Consider the following 17545-nt stretch of genomic DNA (forward strand, 5'->3'; position numbering starts at 1 on the left):
CACTGCAAGAATACCACTTCAGTACAATACAGGAAAGCTTTCTGGAATATAATTTCAGAAAGATGATGAAAGAGGGAAAGGCAAAATACAGTTCTCTTAGCTTTTGGTGGGTTTCACTTCCTTCAGTCCCCACTCTGCCCCCAACCCCCAATCACACATAGCTCCAGATCTCTTTGTATTTTTATTTTGAGTACCTGCTCCAATTCATAGGCCTTTGCCTTATCCTCATCCCGGTCTGCATTCTTCCGATAGGCCAGGCCCAAACCCCACACAGCCAAGATGCTGTACACATTATCTCGGACCCAAGCATCTTTCTGATCATAGCTGGCTGGAAGCAAGCCAGTCACTGGATTCTGCAAGGTCAAGAAAAAGAGGGCAGGAAGGTAACCATAGGTGTTAACATCAGGAAACAGAATCTTCCAAATGGGTTTTTTAGGGACTTTGGTCTTTCTTCTACTTCTCCACTCTTGAGTTTTATAACCTCCTCTTCTTCTGACCTATTGCAGGCAAATGCTATCTTCCCACCTTCCCAAGCTTTACTGAGCTATATTCAACACATTAAAAATTGTGTATATTTAGGGAGTACAACATGATGATTTATGTATTCATTGGAAAATTACCAAAATGACGTTTATTAACACATCTATTACCTCACAGCTACCTTTTTTTTTGGTGTGGTGAGAATACTTAAGATCTACTCTCTTAGTAAATTTCAAGTATACAGTACAGTATGATTAACTACAGTCACCATGCTGCTGTACATCAGATCCCCAGAACTTACTCATCTTATAACTGAAACTTTGTGCCCTTTGCAAATACTATCTTGAATAAGGGGTAAGCGGTGGCTGAAGCCTTTCGAGTCTGAAATGTGGGTATTATTAAAGGCACAATTAAAGGTATTATTAAGTGCATTTATAATGGGTATTATTAAAAGAAAGTTTTACCTTTCTAGTTAGAATGAACTAGCGAACTAGCAATGAAAAACCAGCAGAAAAAATATATAATTAACAGGGGCGGGAGAACCTGCTACAGACAGATACAGATACACACACAAACACACACGCGGAGTTCATGCAAGGTCTCCGTCACACACACACACACACACACACACACACACCCACACACGCACGCACGCACGGAGTTCATCCAAGGTCTCCGTCCAAGCTATGACAAGCTACATCCTCGCTCGGTGATTACGAGAGACACCCCTGCAGTTACCTGATGGCACAGGATGGTCTGTTGCACCAGTCGAGCGTAGCCGTCCAGCCGGACCCCGGAGTTACTCCGGCTCCTCATGGCGACACGTTACTAATTGTCCTCTGAGAAATAGCCCGGGTGCCACCGGAGCCTTCGGTCCCTAAGGAACAAGTATCCAACGCTGCTCCACCCTCGTGGTGGGACGCCTGAACACCAGGCCCCGCAGAGCCCTCCCACCGCTCAGGCCTGGCGCCGCGGATTCCGCGTACCTCTCCGGACTCCGGCGGCCTCAGGGGCCCACCACGCGCCAGCGCTAGCACTGGCTTCCCGCGGTCTAGAGCCCCGCCGCAGCGCCCCAGGCGCCGCTCCTGCCCCCTTAGTCCAGTCCGGCCTCCGCGTGTGACTCCTGCATCCTCCCCTCAACCCCGGGAGACCGCCGCGGCCCACAGCCTCCCGCCCGGCCGCCGCCAACAGGTCAACGACCGCTGCGCCGCCTCCACCTTGCGGGAGACGCGAGCGGGAGGCGGGGCGGGCGCGACTGGTTCTGGCAGCTGCGCGCTGCGACCCCGGGGCTCGCCCGCCCCGGGGCCGAGAATGTGTCACCGTAGGCAATGTGCTTTCCGAGGTTTATTTTCGAAACACCTCAGATCACTATTTCAGTTTTCCACACTTGCTGTGCACACAGGATGTTGGGGAGGCTCTCCTTCGTTCTACAGGACTAGTTTTATAAAGGAACCTACAGTGAACTTCAAAACTGAAAGACACGCTTGTGTTCCAGGTCTGAAGACTTGGATTTCTGGGTCTTTATTGTATTTTAGATTTTGACTTTAAAAGCTCAGATTACACGCCTCACTTCCAGCCAGACCAACCAAACAGGAACTCCCTAGGGTACTTTACTCCTTAGTAACTGGCGAGTCTGCGGGCTTGGGAGGGAGGAGGCAGTGGTGCACTCTGAGGAAGCCAGTGCGGGGAACAGCTGGGAGCTGGCAGCCCCAGAAGGCGGCGTTGGCAGGACTCGAGCTGGAAGAGATCCTATAACTGCTTTGGATGGCTCCCTCGTGCGCACGTAGGTCACAAGGCTGAGGCAACAAATATTCAGCTGAAAATAAAGTGGAGAAGGAAGGCTGCGTAAGAAGCTTGGAGGCCGGGCGCGGTGGCTCACTCCTGTAATCCCAGCACTTTGGGAGGCTGAGGAGGGCAGATCACCTGAAGTCAAGAGTCCGAGACCAGCCTGGCCAACATGGCGGAACCCCATCTCTACTAAAAATACAAAATTAGCCCGGCATGGTGGCGCGCGCCTGTAATCCCAGCTACTCGGGAGGCTGAGGCGGGAAAATCGCTTGAACCCAGGAGGCAGAGGTTGCAGTGAGCCAAGATCGTGCCACTGCACTCTAGCCCAGGCGACAGAGTAAGACTCCGTCTCAAAAAAAATAAAATAAAAATAAAATAATAAAAGCAGCTTGTAGTGGCCGGGTGCGGTGGCTCACGCCTGTAATCCCAGCACTTTGGGAGCCTGAAGTGGGCGGATCACTTGAGGTCAGGAGTTCAAGACCAGCCTGGCCAACATGGAGGAAACCCCCCCCCCCGCTTCCCCCGCCGCCGATACAAATACAAAAATTAGCCGGGCGTGGTGGGGCGCTCCTGTAGTCCCAGCTACTCGGGAAGCTGAGGCAGGATAATCGCTTGAACCCTGGAAGTGGAGGTTGCAGTGAGCCAAGATCGCGTCACTGCACTCCAGCCTGGGAGACAAGAGCGAAACTCCGTTTCAAAAAAAGAAAAAAAAAAGGCAGCAGCTTGCAGATAACGCTGCTTACTGGCCTCGTGGAATCAGTCTGCAACCCTTGGGGCGGCCCGGCTTGGACCCCAGTGCCTTTGCTCCGTTCATCTCCGGCTCCTCCCTCCATCCCCCACCTGTTGCTCTCTGCTTATTCAAACCTTGCAAACCTTTCAAGGCTCTGCTTAAGTACCACCTATTCCCTGAATCGCGGGATAAGAAAATTAGACCGATTGACTTCAAGTTCTAAACCTTCCTTAGCCACCTCATCCAGGCCACGGTGACTTTGCATTTTCGTTTATCTTTTTATTTCTCTCCTCATAAGCTCCCTCCATTCCACCCCAAAACCTCCGCCCAATTTAGCATAGAGGCAGGCACCTAGGAGATGACTAGTAATTTGGTAATGATGATGAGGAAGGAGGGAATGTTTAAGAACTCAAATATGGGACTTTCAGGTTCAACAGCCAGTGATATAGTTAGATATCGTGACACACTTAGAGTTCTCAAGGAGATGCTTTCCATTGCAGTGATTCGCCACGCAAATGCAATGACTGGCAAATAACAAGCCACTTCAAAATCTAGGTGCACAGTGGAAGAAAAAGTCTCTCCATGGAAAGCAAGTGCATCTTGGACTTGCATCTTTTTTTATTTTTATTTTTTGAGGCGGAGTCTCGCTCTGTCGGTCAGGCTGGAGTGCAGTGACGCGATCTCCGCTCACTGCAACATCCACTTCCCGGGTTCAAACTATTCTCTCCTGCCTCAGCCTCCCGAATAGCTGGGATTACAGGCGCCTGCCACCACTCCCGGCTAATTTTTGTATTTTTAGTAGAGACGGGGTTTCACCATGTTGGCCAGGCTGGTCTCGAACTTGAACTAGCATCTGGATCATCCCTGCTCTGCCCCTAACTCGCTGACATCTTCCCCTCAGCTGTAGCCTCAGAAGCCGTTTCTCCACCCTTGTGCCTCCTTCAAGCTAGAGCCTCTCTTTTTCTTCGCTTCACCATGATTTAAACATGTTTATGAAACATTAAATATTTATATTTATGTTAAATCTTAAATATATTTATATTAAATATTAAAGTAATACACACTAAATAAAACATGGAAAGTATAGAAAAGTAAAACAAAGAAAATACTAAAATCACCCATAATTCCTTCGCACAAACACCTGTTAATATTTTAATTTATTTTTCCAGCTCTTTTATTTCTTCTGCATAGACCTTCCCCACTCCCCTTCAAGCTATTTAGAAGTTTGAGTAGATTAGGTATGGCAAAGGTAGGGTGTCACTACAAAAGACTACTGGCTGGCTATCAAGAGGTCTTGCTGGATGGCATTGCCTTGGTGCTTTTTCAACCTCGGTCCAGGCTGGACTTTGAGTCTTGCAGTCTCGGAAACTGGATCTGTTCAGTGTCCCAGAACCAGTCAGAGTCAGGAGGCTGACTCGTGCTGATTACCTCACGGGAGCCTGATGTATGAAAACCAGGATGCTGTTTGATAATGAGAAATAGAACTATGACACCGTTTATATTGGCCTGACCACCACATTCCCTCCCTTTAATAATGTGCAGCCTCACTACATACCAGGTGCTGTTTGCTTTGTACACTAACTCTATGAAGTAGGCACTATTGCTAATCCCATTGGAAAGATGGAGAAACTGACAAGTCTGCTGTGTCCATGTTGGCCTCACTGATTCTCTCTTTTCTCCACTTCCATGGCTTACTGGCACATTCTTTCCTTACATATGTCAAAATCATCAAACGACTTATAGACAAGACTTGCCAGTGGAAGGCATTATGTTTCATGAAGGTGATTTTTCTCTTTGATTCATTGTACATTCACTTTATAGTGTGACTCTCAAATAAAATTGTATTTCCAAGTTCCTGAGACAATTTTCTTGTTGCTCCCTTATATTACTGAAATTTTTTCATCATACCAATTTCTTAAAATTCATAAAGTTTAAAACTTCACATTATAAGCATTTTGCATTTTACATTAATGTCTGTACTAATCTTCCTTCTAGTAGATGTTCTACAGTTTGCTTATTCTCATCATAATTAAAAATAATTCATTATTTAATGTCTTGAAAAAAATAGTCCATACACTATTTCCTTTTCATTATTTCCCATTCACTTTGTTTAAGAATTATTTTTTTAAGATTTTTTTTAAGATTATACAGGTAACATATGAATGCATTCTCAATGAAAAATTTTGAAATATTGAAGATTAGACTAAAGTTCCGTATGTCTATCACCCTCCGTCACAGTCCCCTTTATCTCCCTTCCCAAAGGTAACCACTGCTATTGGGTTGGTTTGTATCCTTCTTGATTTCTTTCTATGGATTTACATATATATGTAGAACTGCATATGAAATATGTAGTGTTGTTTTCTGTGTATTCATTTAATATGAACTGTATTATACTGTACCTACATTTTGCATATTTCTTTATTCACTCAAAATTATACCATGAAGATCTAGTCCTGTTATTACATAGAGTTACCTCATAAACTATGATTTATATAGGCATTCCTTTATTGATAAGCATTTAGTTTGTTTCCCCATTAGAACTCCTGAAAACAGTACTTCAGTGAGCATACATATATGTCTTCTTGTGAATGCATAGAGGTGTTTTGGAAATGTGCATTTTAAATTTTGATATAAATATAGGGCATCTTTTAATTTTTATTTTCTTGAATATGAATGTCATTGATCACTTTTAATGTTTATTTTAGTTTAATTTATGTTTATTTATTTATTTAGTTCATTTTATTTCTTCTTCTGGTTAAAAACTGTTACCAGAAAGGGGTCTCAATACAGACTCCAAGAGGGAGTTCTCAGATCTCGTGCAGGAATTCAAGGTGAGTCACACAGCACAGTGAAGGAAGCAAGTTTACTAGAAACTGCTCTGTTACAGAGTAGGATGTCCTCAGAAAGCAGGCAGATGAACGCACTGTCTTTGTCTTAAGTTTTTCTTATGTAGCAGTCTTGTCCACGTAAAGACTAAACCAAGCTGTGTCTATGTGAGAGTGAGCAGACAGCATGGCAAAATTTATTGTTTTATTGATTTAAAGAAAACTATCCTTGACATTTTAGTGTGTGAAGACATCAAAGCATAACTATAATTATCTTGAAAATGTGTATTGTTATGGGTGTTGGGACATTGAGACTTTCCACTGTTATAGGAGTGTCCCCTTGTAGGTGTCTTTAGGTTGTTTCCTCAGCTGTAAATATATTATGAATGTGGGTCGTGACTGGCAAGGAATGGGCCTTGTTCATCTCAAGATGAACCTGAACTTAAAATGGTGTTACTCTGGCTCTCCTAGGCTCTCGCTTCCCTAACAGAACTGCTCATATACTTGGTCATTTTTCTATTGGGTTGCTTGTCTTTTTCTTTTTGAGTTACAGCAATTTTTACAACTTATATATTCTGGACTTTAACCTTTTCTCTAAAATAAATGTAAAAGAGATACCGCACATGTTTTCCCATAAGTGGTTTGTCTATTAACATTATTTATGATGCCTTTTTTCATATAGCTTTTATTTTGAATGAAGTCAAATTGATGAATCTTTTCCCTTTTGTCTTAAATTAAAAGGCCTTTGGAGTGGGTTGAACAGTGCCCTCCACCCCCACAAAAGATATGTCCACCTAGAACCTGCCAATGCGATATTATTTGGAAAAAGAGTCTTTGCAGCTGTAGTTAAGGATCTGGAGATGAAATCCAGTCAGACTTTCCAACCGGGCCCTAAATCTAATGATGAGCATCCTTATAGGAAGAGGACAGGGCACACAAGAAGAAGGTAGTGATGTGAAGACCCAGGTGGAGATGGGAGTGATGCATTTACTAGCCAAAGAACACCAAGGATTGCCAGCAGCCACCAGGAGCTAGAAAAAAGGCATGGAATGGATTGACCCTCAGTGCTTTCAGAAGGAACCAATCCTGCTGACACCTTGATTTAGGACTTCTGGCCACCAGACTGTGAGAGAATAATTTTCTGTTGTAAGCCACCCAGTTTGTGGTAATGTGTTGCAGCAGCCCTAAGAAATGAATAAAGTCAACCCTGTCTCTACTAAAAGTACAAAAATTAGCCGGGCATGGTGGCGCACATCTGTAATCCCAGCTACTCTGGAGACTGAGGAACAAGAATCGCTTGAACCCGGGAGGCGGAGGTTGCAGTGAATCGAGATCATGCCACTGCACTCCAGCCTGGGTGATAGAGTGAGATTCTCTCTCTCTCTCTAAATAAATAAATAAATAAAAGTCTTCTTGCCCCCAAGATCATCAATAAATGATCATTTATCTAATACGTTTATTGTTGTGCTTTTTATCTGTAACTTTTAATTCTTCTGTATTTTTCTAAATGGGTCTAGGCATAAATTTGGCTTAATATTTTCCTAAATGGTTAGCCAGTTATGCTAACACCATTTATTTATTTATTTATTTATTTATTTATTTATTTATTTATTTATTTTTTGAGACGGAGTCTCGCTCTGTCACCCAGGCTGGAGTGCAGTGGCGCGATCTCAGCTCACTGCAAGCTCCGCCTCCCGGGTTCACGCCATTCTCCTGCCTCAGTCTCCCGAATAGCTGGGACTACAGGCACCGGACACCACGCCCGGCTATTTTTTGTATTTTTAGTGGAGACGGGGTTTCACTGTGTTAGCCAGGATGGTCTCAATCTCCTGACCTCGCGATCCGCCCGCCTCGGCCTCCCAAAGTGCTGGGATTACAGGCCTGAGCCACCGTGCCCGGCCGCTAACACCATTTATTGAGTAATTCTTTTCCCTTGATTTGAAATGCTGCTTTGAGCATACCCATGATTCTGTTCCATCAATCTGTTTTTCTATTCCTTCACCAATATTGTACTACCTTGGAATTTTAGAATCATCGGGTCAGGTTCTACGGAAATTATTTTTTGGGGAGCCAGGGTCTCACTCTGTCACCCAGGCTGGAGTGCAGTGGCACAATTATAGCTCACTGCAGCCTTGAACTCTTGGGCTCAAGCAATCCTCCGTCTCAGCCTCTCAAGTATCTAGGACTACAGGTGCATGACACCATGCTCCATTAATTTTTTAATTTTCTTGTAGAGGTGGGGTGTATATTGTGCAGGCAGGTCTTGAACTCCTGGCCTCAAGTGATCTCCCTCCTAGGCCTTTCAGAGTGCTGAGATTACAGGTGTAAAGCCACCATGTCCAGTTGAAAATTCTGATTTTTATTCTGATTGCATTGAATTTGTAGATTTGTTTGGGGAGAATTGACATATTGACAGTGTTTTGCTTTCCTGTCTACAAAAAAATGCACATTTATTTATTTGGAGCTTCTTTTATTTCTTTCGGTAAACTTTATATTTTTCTTCATGAAAGTCTTGCATTTTTTGGTTAAGTTTATTTCTTGGTATTTTTTCCGCTGTTATATTTTAATTGATTATTATTATGTATAGGGAAATGATTTTTGTATGTTTACTTTATATCCACTCTCTATTAAACTCTTACATTAAATCCAGTGGTTTGAGGGTAATATTTTTTGGTTTTCTAGATAGACAGTCATATGATTTGCTAAGAGTAACAGTTGTGCTTTTGTCTTTCAAATCTTAATGACCCTTATAGTGGGGATAGTGGTTATCACTTCTTGCTCCTGACTTTAATGGGACTAGGTGTAATATTTCACAATTAAATAAGTCTGCAGTAGGTTTCCAAAAGACACCGTTATCACATTAAAATAGTTTCTTTTTCTCCTTGGCTTCCTAAAACTTTATTATTAACATCATTTTGAAAGAATGTTGAATTTTATTGGATTCTTTTTCTGCATGCATTGAAAAAACTATACGGTTTTATTCCTTTACTTGGCTAATGTGTGAATTACATCAGTACCTTTCCTTATTTTTATTCCTAAGCTAAACCACATTTGATCACGATAAACACACTAGATTTAATACACACTAGATGCAATTTAGTAATATTTTATTTATAATTTTCAAACCTTTGTTTTTAAATTATGTCAGCCTATAGCCTTCTATTTTTACCAGTCCTTGTTTCATTTCAGTATCAAAATTATGCCTGGCTGTAAAATGGCTTTGGTAGTTTCCCATCTTTTTCTTTGGAACTGTTCAGATGAAATGAAAATTATGTGTTACTTTCAGTCTTGGTGAAACTTACCTGGTAGAACTCACTCACTTGCTGCCTTTTTGAGAACAGTTAGATTTTTGAAAATCATTTCAATTTCTTCTCTGGTTATTGCAAAGAACAATGCAATAGAGAGTCGAGGTTATTATCAAGATTTTCCACTTCTTGGGCCAGTTTTGATAATTAATATTTTCCTAGAAGCGTGCCAATTTAAGTTGGCTCAGGGCTTCTCAATCTCAGAATTATTGACATTTTGGGCTGGCTAATTCTTGGTTGTGGGAGGCTGTCCTGTGCATTCTAGAATGTTTAGCAACATCCTTGACCTCTACCAACTAGATGTCAGTAGCACCCTGCCCCACCCCCCTCCCCTGCCCCCTGCCATTTGTGACAATGAAAATGCCTCCAGATATCGCAAAGTATTCTCTGGAGGTCAAAATTTGTCAGTATAAAGTTGTGCAAGGTTTTGCATGTAATTCTTAAGTCGCTTCTAAATCTGAATCACGTCCCCTTTTGTATTCTTGATGTATTTCATTTGTGCCTTCTCTCTTTTTTTATAAGATGAACATACCAAGAAATTTGTCTATTTTATTAGTCTTTTCCCAGACCAGCTCTTAATATTACTGATCAATTATATCCTCATTTTTGTATTCCTTTGTGACCTAACAAGTAGAAAATTTTAAAAAATATTTCATTACAAAAATAGAATGTACAATACAGTGAACCCTACCACCTTGCTTCAACAATTGTCAGCTCATGTCCAATCTTGTTTCCTTCATCCATACCTTCTCACCCTCTCCTTTCCCATATTATTCTGAAGCAAATCCCAGATTGTGTATTCTTCCAAATGTAAATATTATGTACCTACAAAATTAAGAAAGCTTTATTAAATATAACCATGCACCCATGATTACACCTAAAATACAATTTCTTAATATTATCAAATATCCTTTCTTTGTTCAAATTTCCCGACTGTTTCATAAATGCTTGTGTATGTGCATGTGTGTGTGTGTGTGTGTGTGTGTGTGTGTGTGTGTGAGAGAGAGAGAGAGAGAGAGAGAGAGAGAGAGAGAGAGAGAGATAGAGAGGTTTATAGATTGTCAGAATCAAGAGCCAATAAGGTCCATGCATCACATTTGATTGACATGCTTCTTAAGGCTTTAAGTCTTTTGAGCCATAGGGGTTCCTTCTTATTTTTCCTTTTTTTCCTAGGAATGTGATGAATACATCAAGTTGTTTGTCCTGTAGGGTTTCCCCAGTTGAACTTTGTGGATTTCATTTCTATGGTACCATTTAACACTTTCTCTGTCTTCTGTATTTCCTACAAATTGGTGCTTGACCTTAGAGGCTTAATCAGATTCAGGTTCAATTACCTTGGCTAGACTGCTCATAGGGTATATGGAGTTCTCCCATCTGGAGACACATAATATCTGGTTGTCCTTTAACGGCTACATCCCTTAATTCATTATGAGTTGCAGAATAGTGATATCCTATCATTCTATATTCATTTATTAGCTGACTTTTTTTAAATAAAGAAAACTTCCCTTCATCTGCTATTTGGAACCTACCAGTACAGTTTGCATAGGACAGGCAGGATAAATGCTTGCCTCTTTCCCTTTATTTATTGGTTTCCAAAATAATGAGTTGGTTCCCTATCATCTTTCAAATGTGACCAATTTTTTCCCAGTATTATCATAAGCATATAGGTGTAAACATTTGATGTATTTCAATCCATTACAGTTATTCTCCTTATTGATGCTCAAATTGTCCAGTGGGACTTTGGCCCCTGGGAGCCTCTACACCCTGGCTACTGTGTCCTTTTGACAGAACCTTATTGGTCTGTGATAGCCTCCTTGCTTTCTGAGACTCCAAGATGTTGGAGGCTCTACTTGTCCATTTCCTGCCCCCAGACTAGACATCAGCATTTCTCCTAGGATCCCTGGTTCCTTTTATTGTGAAATGGTGTTTGGAAATAAAAATCTGGGCCCTGGTCATTATGATCTTTCCAATCAAGATTCAAGATTAAAGAATTTTTACTTCAACTCAACAATCTGCATCGTCTTTCTCCCACAAATAAAATCCTGGTTCTCAAGACAACAACATACAATCTGTTATCATCTCACTCATCTGTGTTATCCTACCATATACAGATAACAGTTTCAGAGTAACAATACCAGCTATGCCACCAAAAATGTGATTACTACAAAGAGTTTAAGATTCTTTTGCAGATATTTTTGTCCCTACCTTAAGATGTATCCTGTTAGGATATACATCAACGTTGTTGTGTTTTAAAGTTACTTTATGTGTGATTATGTTAGCTTCTGGATACACAGGTTCATTTGTTTCATTTTGCTTTTGACTTAATATTTTTTATTTTTAATTTTTGTGGTTACATAGTAGGTGTATACATTTATGGGATATATGAGATATTGTGATACAGGCATACAATGTATAATAATCATATCAGGATCAATGGGGTATACGTCACCTCCAGCATTTATCTTTTGTGCTACAAGTAATCCAATTACATTCTTTTAGTTATTTTAAAATGTACAATTAAATTAACTATAGTCACTCTGTTGTGCTATCAAATACTAAATCGTATTTATCCTTCCTATTGTTTTAGAATTGCTTTTCTACAAAGTTATGTTAAAATTGTGTAATATACTTACATGGTTCCAAAGTCAACTCTACAGAAGGAGGTATACTAAAAGAAGACTAGCTTTTCTCCCTGCTTTTTTATGCTAGTTGTTCCCACCCCCTATAGGTAATCACTTTTCTTTATATTGTGGCTTATCTTTCCCTTTTAAATACAAATATATATTATATTTTTAAACACAAATATATATAAAGGAAGATATAGAATTATATATATATATAGATATACACACACATTTATTTATTTATTTCTCTTCCCTTATGTAGCTGGTATAATATTATACACACTTTTATCCACCCTGCTTCCTTCAAAATAAGCAACACATCTTGGACATCACTCCCTCAGAGAACGTAGAGATATTCTTTATTCCTTTTCAAAACTGCATCGTACCTCATTTTGTGGACATACCAGACCTCTATTAAGAGAACATTTGAGTTGTTTCTAGTCTTTTGCTGTTATAAATAATGCTGCAGCAAATAGCCATGTGCATATGTATTCTGATAATTGCCTTTTAGTTGATGGATCCCATATGTTTAAATGTATTGATTGCCATATTTGGAGAGGTTTTCTACCATCTCGTTTTGTATTATCTTTTTTACCATTTTTTAAAACTTTCTTTTTCCTTTCCTTCCTTCTGTAGGATTGATAATGCTTTCTATATTCCCTTTTGTTCCCTACACTGGCTTAGAAACTACAGTTTGCATTGCTGTTGTTTTGGTGGTTGCCCTTGTTTTTAATATGTACACTTAACTGTAACGTTTTAATACATGTAACATATGTTTTAATGCTTTAATACATGTAACATAGTTCAGTATTTCTATTCTTTCGAACATGACAAAGTTTTTTGCATTCTTTAAGGACTCATTGAACAACCCCTCTTTCTTCAGCTAGTTATCGTTGCCTAAAATGTCCGTTTCATCTTTAATTTTAGCTCACCTTTTCTTGAATAAGTAATACATTCATATGGTTCAAAAACTGAAACAACAATGAAAGTTATAGGGTGAAAAGTCTTGCTCCTATTCCTCTCCTGTCTTTCCAATTCATCCTACCTTCCCCCAATCAGTTAATCCCTGTAAATGCATATTTTTTTCAGGGTTTTTTGTTTTGTTTTGTTTTGTTTTGTTTTTGAGACAGAGTCTCGCTGTTGGCCAGGCTGGAGGGCAGTGGCACGATCTCGGCTCGCCGCAACCTCTGCCTCTCGGGTTCAAGCAATTCTTCTGCCTCAGCCTCCCAAGTAGCTGGGACTACAGGCACGTACCACCACGCCTAGGTTTTTTTTTTTTTATTTTATTTTTAGTAGAGACGGGGTTTCACCGTGTTAGCCAGGATGTTCAGGATGTTCTCAATCTCCCAACCTCATGATCTGCCTGCCTTGGGCTCTCAAAGTGCTGGGATTACAGGCGAGAGCCACCGTGCCCAGCCTCAGGGTTCTTTATGTAACATATACATTCTTATTTTACCTCCTTTCTTACATAGTGTATTATACTGTGTTTGGCACCTTGATTTTTCTACTCTTAGCAATACATCTTGGAGATCTTTTCATATTGGTACAAATAAAGTTTCCTCATTCTTTTATATGTCATAGTATTTCACTGTATGAATGATTCTTAAATTATCTAACCGGTATGCTGTTAAGAGATACTTGCATCATTTCCAATCTTTTGCTGTTATAAAAAAGCTGAAATTAAGAACACTGTACATATTTTATATGTGTTCAGATATATTGGCAAACACTCAAAAATTGAATTGCTGGTTCTATGGAAAATTATGTATTTGTAATTTTTTAAATACCACTCAGACTGCGTTTTCTACCTCTTAGTCTCCTGATGGAAAAGAAGAACGATTATCAGTGGCAAATGGCAGTTTCAGCGAAGCAACACCAACAGCCGGCTTCACACTCACTAGAGAATGCTGTGCCTCCTCCTTGTGGTTTCTGGCACCCTACACATTCAGAGAAACTACTCTAGTAATGAACTATAGAAATTACCCCTGAAAGTATAGCCCTTATTCTTAGTTTTGATAGATAATGCCAAATTGCCCTTTATTGGAGTTTATACTACCCATTAGGAATGTATGAGAGTGTTTACTTTTCCACAGCTTTGGTAATAAAACGAGTTATTAATTTTGGGGGTGGTTGCCAATCTTTGTATTTTGCTTCTTTCTTTCTTTCTTTCTTTCTTTCTTTCTTTCTTTCTTTCTTTCTTTCTTTCTTCTAACAACATGGGTACATTTCTGTTAGACTACCTGATACAGAAGATAGCGTGGTATGGATGCATAGCATGAATAACAAATGATACCAATGCACTTTATTTGAAATAAACAAAAATGCTTACACAGCTCAATGGGCCACTTGGAAACAAACTGTTGCTTGACTGTGTTACTGAGCAAAAACAAAGTCAAAGCACAAACACCCTTATTTTTTGACATGTATTTGGAGATAGGTAGGAAGACACTACCTGGTTCTTTAAAAAACTGTTCTTTCCTTAAGGCCTGGTCATAGAAGTGTAAAGAATGTAAATGAACTTGCCATTACCAATTATCATATCATATCTATGTCGGCTGTGTATTCTGAGATCACACACAAACCTGTGTATAACCAGTATACCTGGGAAGAGCTGCTATACCACAGTTATACTTGAGTTCTTGCCAGGCGGGACAGAGGAAGAGTAATCTGGAGTAAGTTTTACATCCTGTTTAGAATAAATCACTAGTATTCCCTTAAATGACAGGTTAGAATAGAAAGATGCTACCTGGAAGTTATCCTTTTTACTTTGGTTCGTTTTTAGTTTTTGTTTATGATTTACATAGTTGCTTGATTCATTTGCTTATAGCACAATCCTGCCACAAAGTATAAAAGGGCAGGATACTTATTATTTCTTCAACATCTGCATTTTTCAAGTTTTTAAAAACGAATGGATAAAACTCTGCTAAAAATGCAGATGTCTATAACTTCAATGGTATTAGATGGGAAGGAGACAATGAGGGAAGGGAAAAAAAAGCAAACATGTTCATGTGCAAGGAATGTGGTTAAAGCCTTTGGATTTAAAAACATGTTTCTCAGAAAAGCTGTCACTTCCTTTGTCCTCCAAAAAAGGACTTGAAAAGTTCCAATCCAAGCTTTGGAAAACTACAGTTATGAGATGCTATAAATGTTCAAAGCAGTCAGAAGGAGAAGGATGAATGTGTCTTTTATTTAGCTATAGTTCATAGCGTAGCCTCTTTAGCTGTTGGTGGATCAGTAAAAACCACTGAATTACCAGAAGTGCTTGAAAGGATAGGGGTAGAAAGTAATGAACATAATATCTTATGCAAATCAGTAACAGGGTTTCATGGCCCAGGAAAACTTTCTGAAAAGTAAAATGACTCTAAAATAGATCTCCTCTCCAACATTAAGTGTAGCAGAATTAACGACAACCAAAAAAGATTTACATGTAGATCTAGTGATAATAGAAAATTACAAGGCAGAGAGCTTAAAAGAATCAAGACCATGCTATAGATTCTACAGTATTCTATGAAGCTAGAAAACCTGTTAAATTTGAAAGCCCTAGCAAAATATCACTCTTGTTTATAAATCACTTATTTATCGTATGACCACATGTTGAATCCTTGTCTTTCCTCATACTGAAGAATTCTACATTCAGCCTTTAAGCATTCTGCATTTCTTTGCCAATCTGGTAGATGAGTATCTTGTTCCAGTCGATTTTCCTGCGGGTAACTGGAAGCTGCCGGCGCAAGGCCTGGAATGTGGTATCTGACATTGTTTGATAGTTTTCACTGGTTGCTGTCTGATGGTCATTTTCTGCATTCCCTATGATTTTAATAAACTCCTTGGCAGTTTGGACTTCATTCGAAACAGTTAGTGAATCCTGTACATCTTTATGACTAACCGACTGAACATTGCCATATTCATAATAGTGAATCTTAAGCACTCCAGCCACCTGGGCTGTAGGAGGTATGATGATGACCTTCCACTCCAATGACCACTTCAGAATTTTTAAGGATGAAACTGGTGGCTTTCAATGCATGCAGGAATAGTCTGTTGCCCATCTATAGTTTTAACATAAACAGTACAGAAGCCGCTGGAATAATGATCTTTCACATAGGCTTTTAAAGCAGGGTCACAGGATTCTCTCCAAGACTTCAGACCTCCATCTACTTCCTGTGGCTGGGGGTCACTTGCTTTTTTCCATACGTGATCAAATTTAAAGGAAATTTTGTTTCTTGGATCTAGAAATCTGCTATTACCTAGGTTAGAGTGCTCTGCAATTAAGACCTGATCTTCATATCCTTCTCTGTCTTCACAGACGTGAACTGATCCATGTTATGCTGGGCAAATGCATGTGCTGCCCCTTCGCTGAGGAGAGTGTCATTATTAAGTATTAAACATCATTGAATACTCATTAAATTCCCATGGGGGAGCATGAGTGATGAATTTAGCAGCTATACACACCTTCTTCTCATCCAACACTCAGTCCTCAATGTCGGCCATCTTGGGCTGCTCTCTGCATTTTTCTTATTATGAGGATGAGCGTCTTTGGGGGCCATTTATATTTTCCTTTTCTACCTTTTGTCTGTTCATGAGGCTTGCCCATTTTTCTACTGGGCTGCTGGTCTTTTATCTAATTCTAGAGCATCTTTTATGGCATTTGAATCTTGAATCGTGGTTAGGAAGGCTTTCCCTGAAACTCAGGTTAGAAAGGAATTCTTTCATGTTTCCTTTGAATGCTCTTTATTATTATTTTTTACATTTAAATAATTGATTCCTCTCTGGTTTATCCTGATGTACAGTGTGAAGCATGAATCTACTTTATTTTTTTCAGATGGCTACCTAGTTGTCACAACAGTTTGCTGAATTGTTCACCTTTTCTCCAACCAATTTAAGATGACATCTTCATCATATCCCAAACTTCAATATTTATTTGTTTTTACTTATGGATATTCTATTCTGTTAATTGGTCTGTATTTCTAGTTATGTGACACTACCCTTTGCTTTTAATTATCAAAGCTTTAAAATGTTTTTCATCCTTTGTTTTCTCCCCTTTATTCTCAATGTAGTGTATTAGGTTAATGAATAACACAGTAATGTAATAATAATTATTATTAACACAAGAGCAATAATAGAATGACGTTCTTGGTCAGGTGCTTGTCATTTATTTTTTAATTTTTTTTTTAAGTTTTTTTTTTTTTTTTTTTTGAGGCGGAGTCTCGCTCTGTCGCCCAGGCTGGAGTGCAGTGGTGTGATTTCGGCTCACTGCAAGCTCTGCCTCCCGGGTTCACGCCATTCTCCTGCCTCAGCTTCCGGAGTAGTTGGGACTACAGGTGCCCGCCACCTCGCCTGGCTAATTTTTTGTGTTTTTAGTAGAGACGGGGTTTCACCGTGTTAGCCAGGATGGTCTCCATTTCCTGACCTAGTGATCCGTCCGCCTCGGCCTCCCAAAGTGCTGGGATTACAGGCTTGAGCCACCATGCCCGGCCTTATTTTTAAATTTTTTTTATTTCCAACTTTTATTTTAAGTTCAGGGGCACATGTGCAGGATGTGCAGGTTTGTTACATAGGTAAACATGTGTTACATAGGTAAACACGGTGGTCTGCTGCACAGATCATCCCATCACCCAGGTATGAAGCCCAACATCAACTAGCTATTCTTCCTGATCCTCTCCCTCCTCCCACCTCCCACCCTCCAACACACCCCAGTGTGTGTTGTTCCCCCTGTCATGTGTCCATGTGTTCTCATCATTTAGCACCTACGTATAAGTGAAAACACACTTTAAAACGTTTTAATGTCTGTCGTTTTAC

The 17545-nt window shown here is 39.9% G+C and overlaps 1 protein-coding gene, 1 non-coding gene and 1 pseudogene across 9 annotated transcripts in view, besides 3 other annotated features; all 3 read right to left on the reverse strand.

Annotated features, from left to right (window-relative positions):
• The window catches only part of PHKA1 (phosphorylase kinase regulatory subunit alpha 1), a 135493-nt gene extending 133771 nt beyond the window's left edge, over window positions 1-1722 (reverse strand). For 5 of the 8 annotated variants that reach the window (NM_001172436.2, XM_006724661.3, NM_001122670.2 and 2 more), the window contains exons 1-2: window positions 1219-1722; window positions 195-353 (exon numbers count right to left, since the gene is read on the reverse strand). In NM_001172436.2, the coding sequence (NP_001165907.1) occupies window positions 195-353; window positions 1219-1296 (237 nt within the window). In that variant the 5' untranslated portion in view covers window positions 1297-1722. The remainder of the gene's footprint in view (window positions 1-194; window positions 354-1218) is intronic. The other 3 variants (NM_001440788.1, NM_001440787.1, XM_047442160.1) reach the window with 1 other exon arrangement.
• Window positions 1026-2010: an enhancer, noted in NCBI's record as "H3K27ac-H3K4me1 hESC enhancer chrX:71933452-71934442 (GRCh37/hg19 assembly coordinates)". NCBI's record gives its function as "activates a minimal SCP1, AML or CMV promoter by ChIP-STARR-seq in primed H9 embryonic stem cells {active_cell/tissue: H9 hESC(primed)}" and the evidence as "EXISTENCE:reporter gene assay evidence [ECO:0000049][PMID:30033119]".
• Window positions 1703-1852: a silencer, noted in NCBI's record as "silent region_20904". NCBI's record gives its function as "represses an Ori minimal core promoter by ATAC-STARR-seq in GM12878 lymphoblastoid cells {active_cell/tissue: GM12878}" and the evidence as "EXISTENCE:reporter gene assay evidence [ECO:0000049][PMID:35858748]".
• Window positions 2011-2999: an enhancer, noted in NCBI's record as "H3K27ac-H3K4me1 hESC enhancer chrX:71934443-71935431 (GRCh37/hg19 assembly coordinates)". NCBI's record gives its function as "activates a minimal SCP1, AML or CMV promoter by ChIP-STARR-seq in primed H9 embryonic stem cells {active_cell/tissue: H9 hESC(primed)}" and the evidence as "EXISTENCE:reporter gene assay evidence [ECO:0000049][PMID:30033119]".
• LOC124905290 (small nucleolar RNA U3) lies at window positions 13538-13753 on the reverse strand. The gene has a single exon (XR_007068448.1). It is a non-coding gene; the product is annotated as a small nucleolar RNA U3 (small nucleolar RNA).
• On the reverse strand, window positions 15197-16250 carry CAPZA1P3 (CAPZA1 pseudogene 3; annotated as a pseudogene).

This window comes from Homo sapiens, chromosome X (genome assembly GCF_000001405.40).
Source record: "Homo sapiens chromosome X, GRCh38.p14 Primary Assembly".
NCBI classification, from domain to species: Eukaryota; Metazoa; Chordata; class Mammalia; order Primates; family Hominidae; genus Homo; species Homo sapiens.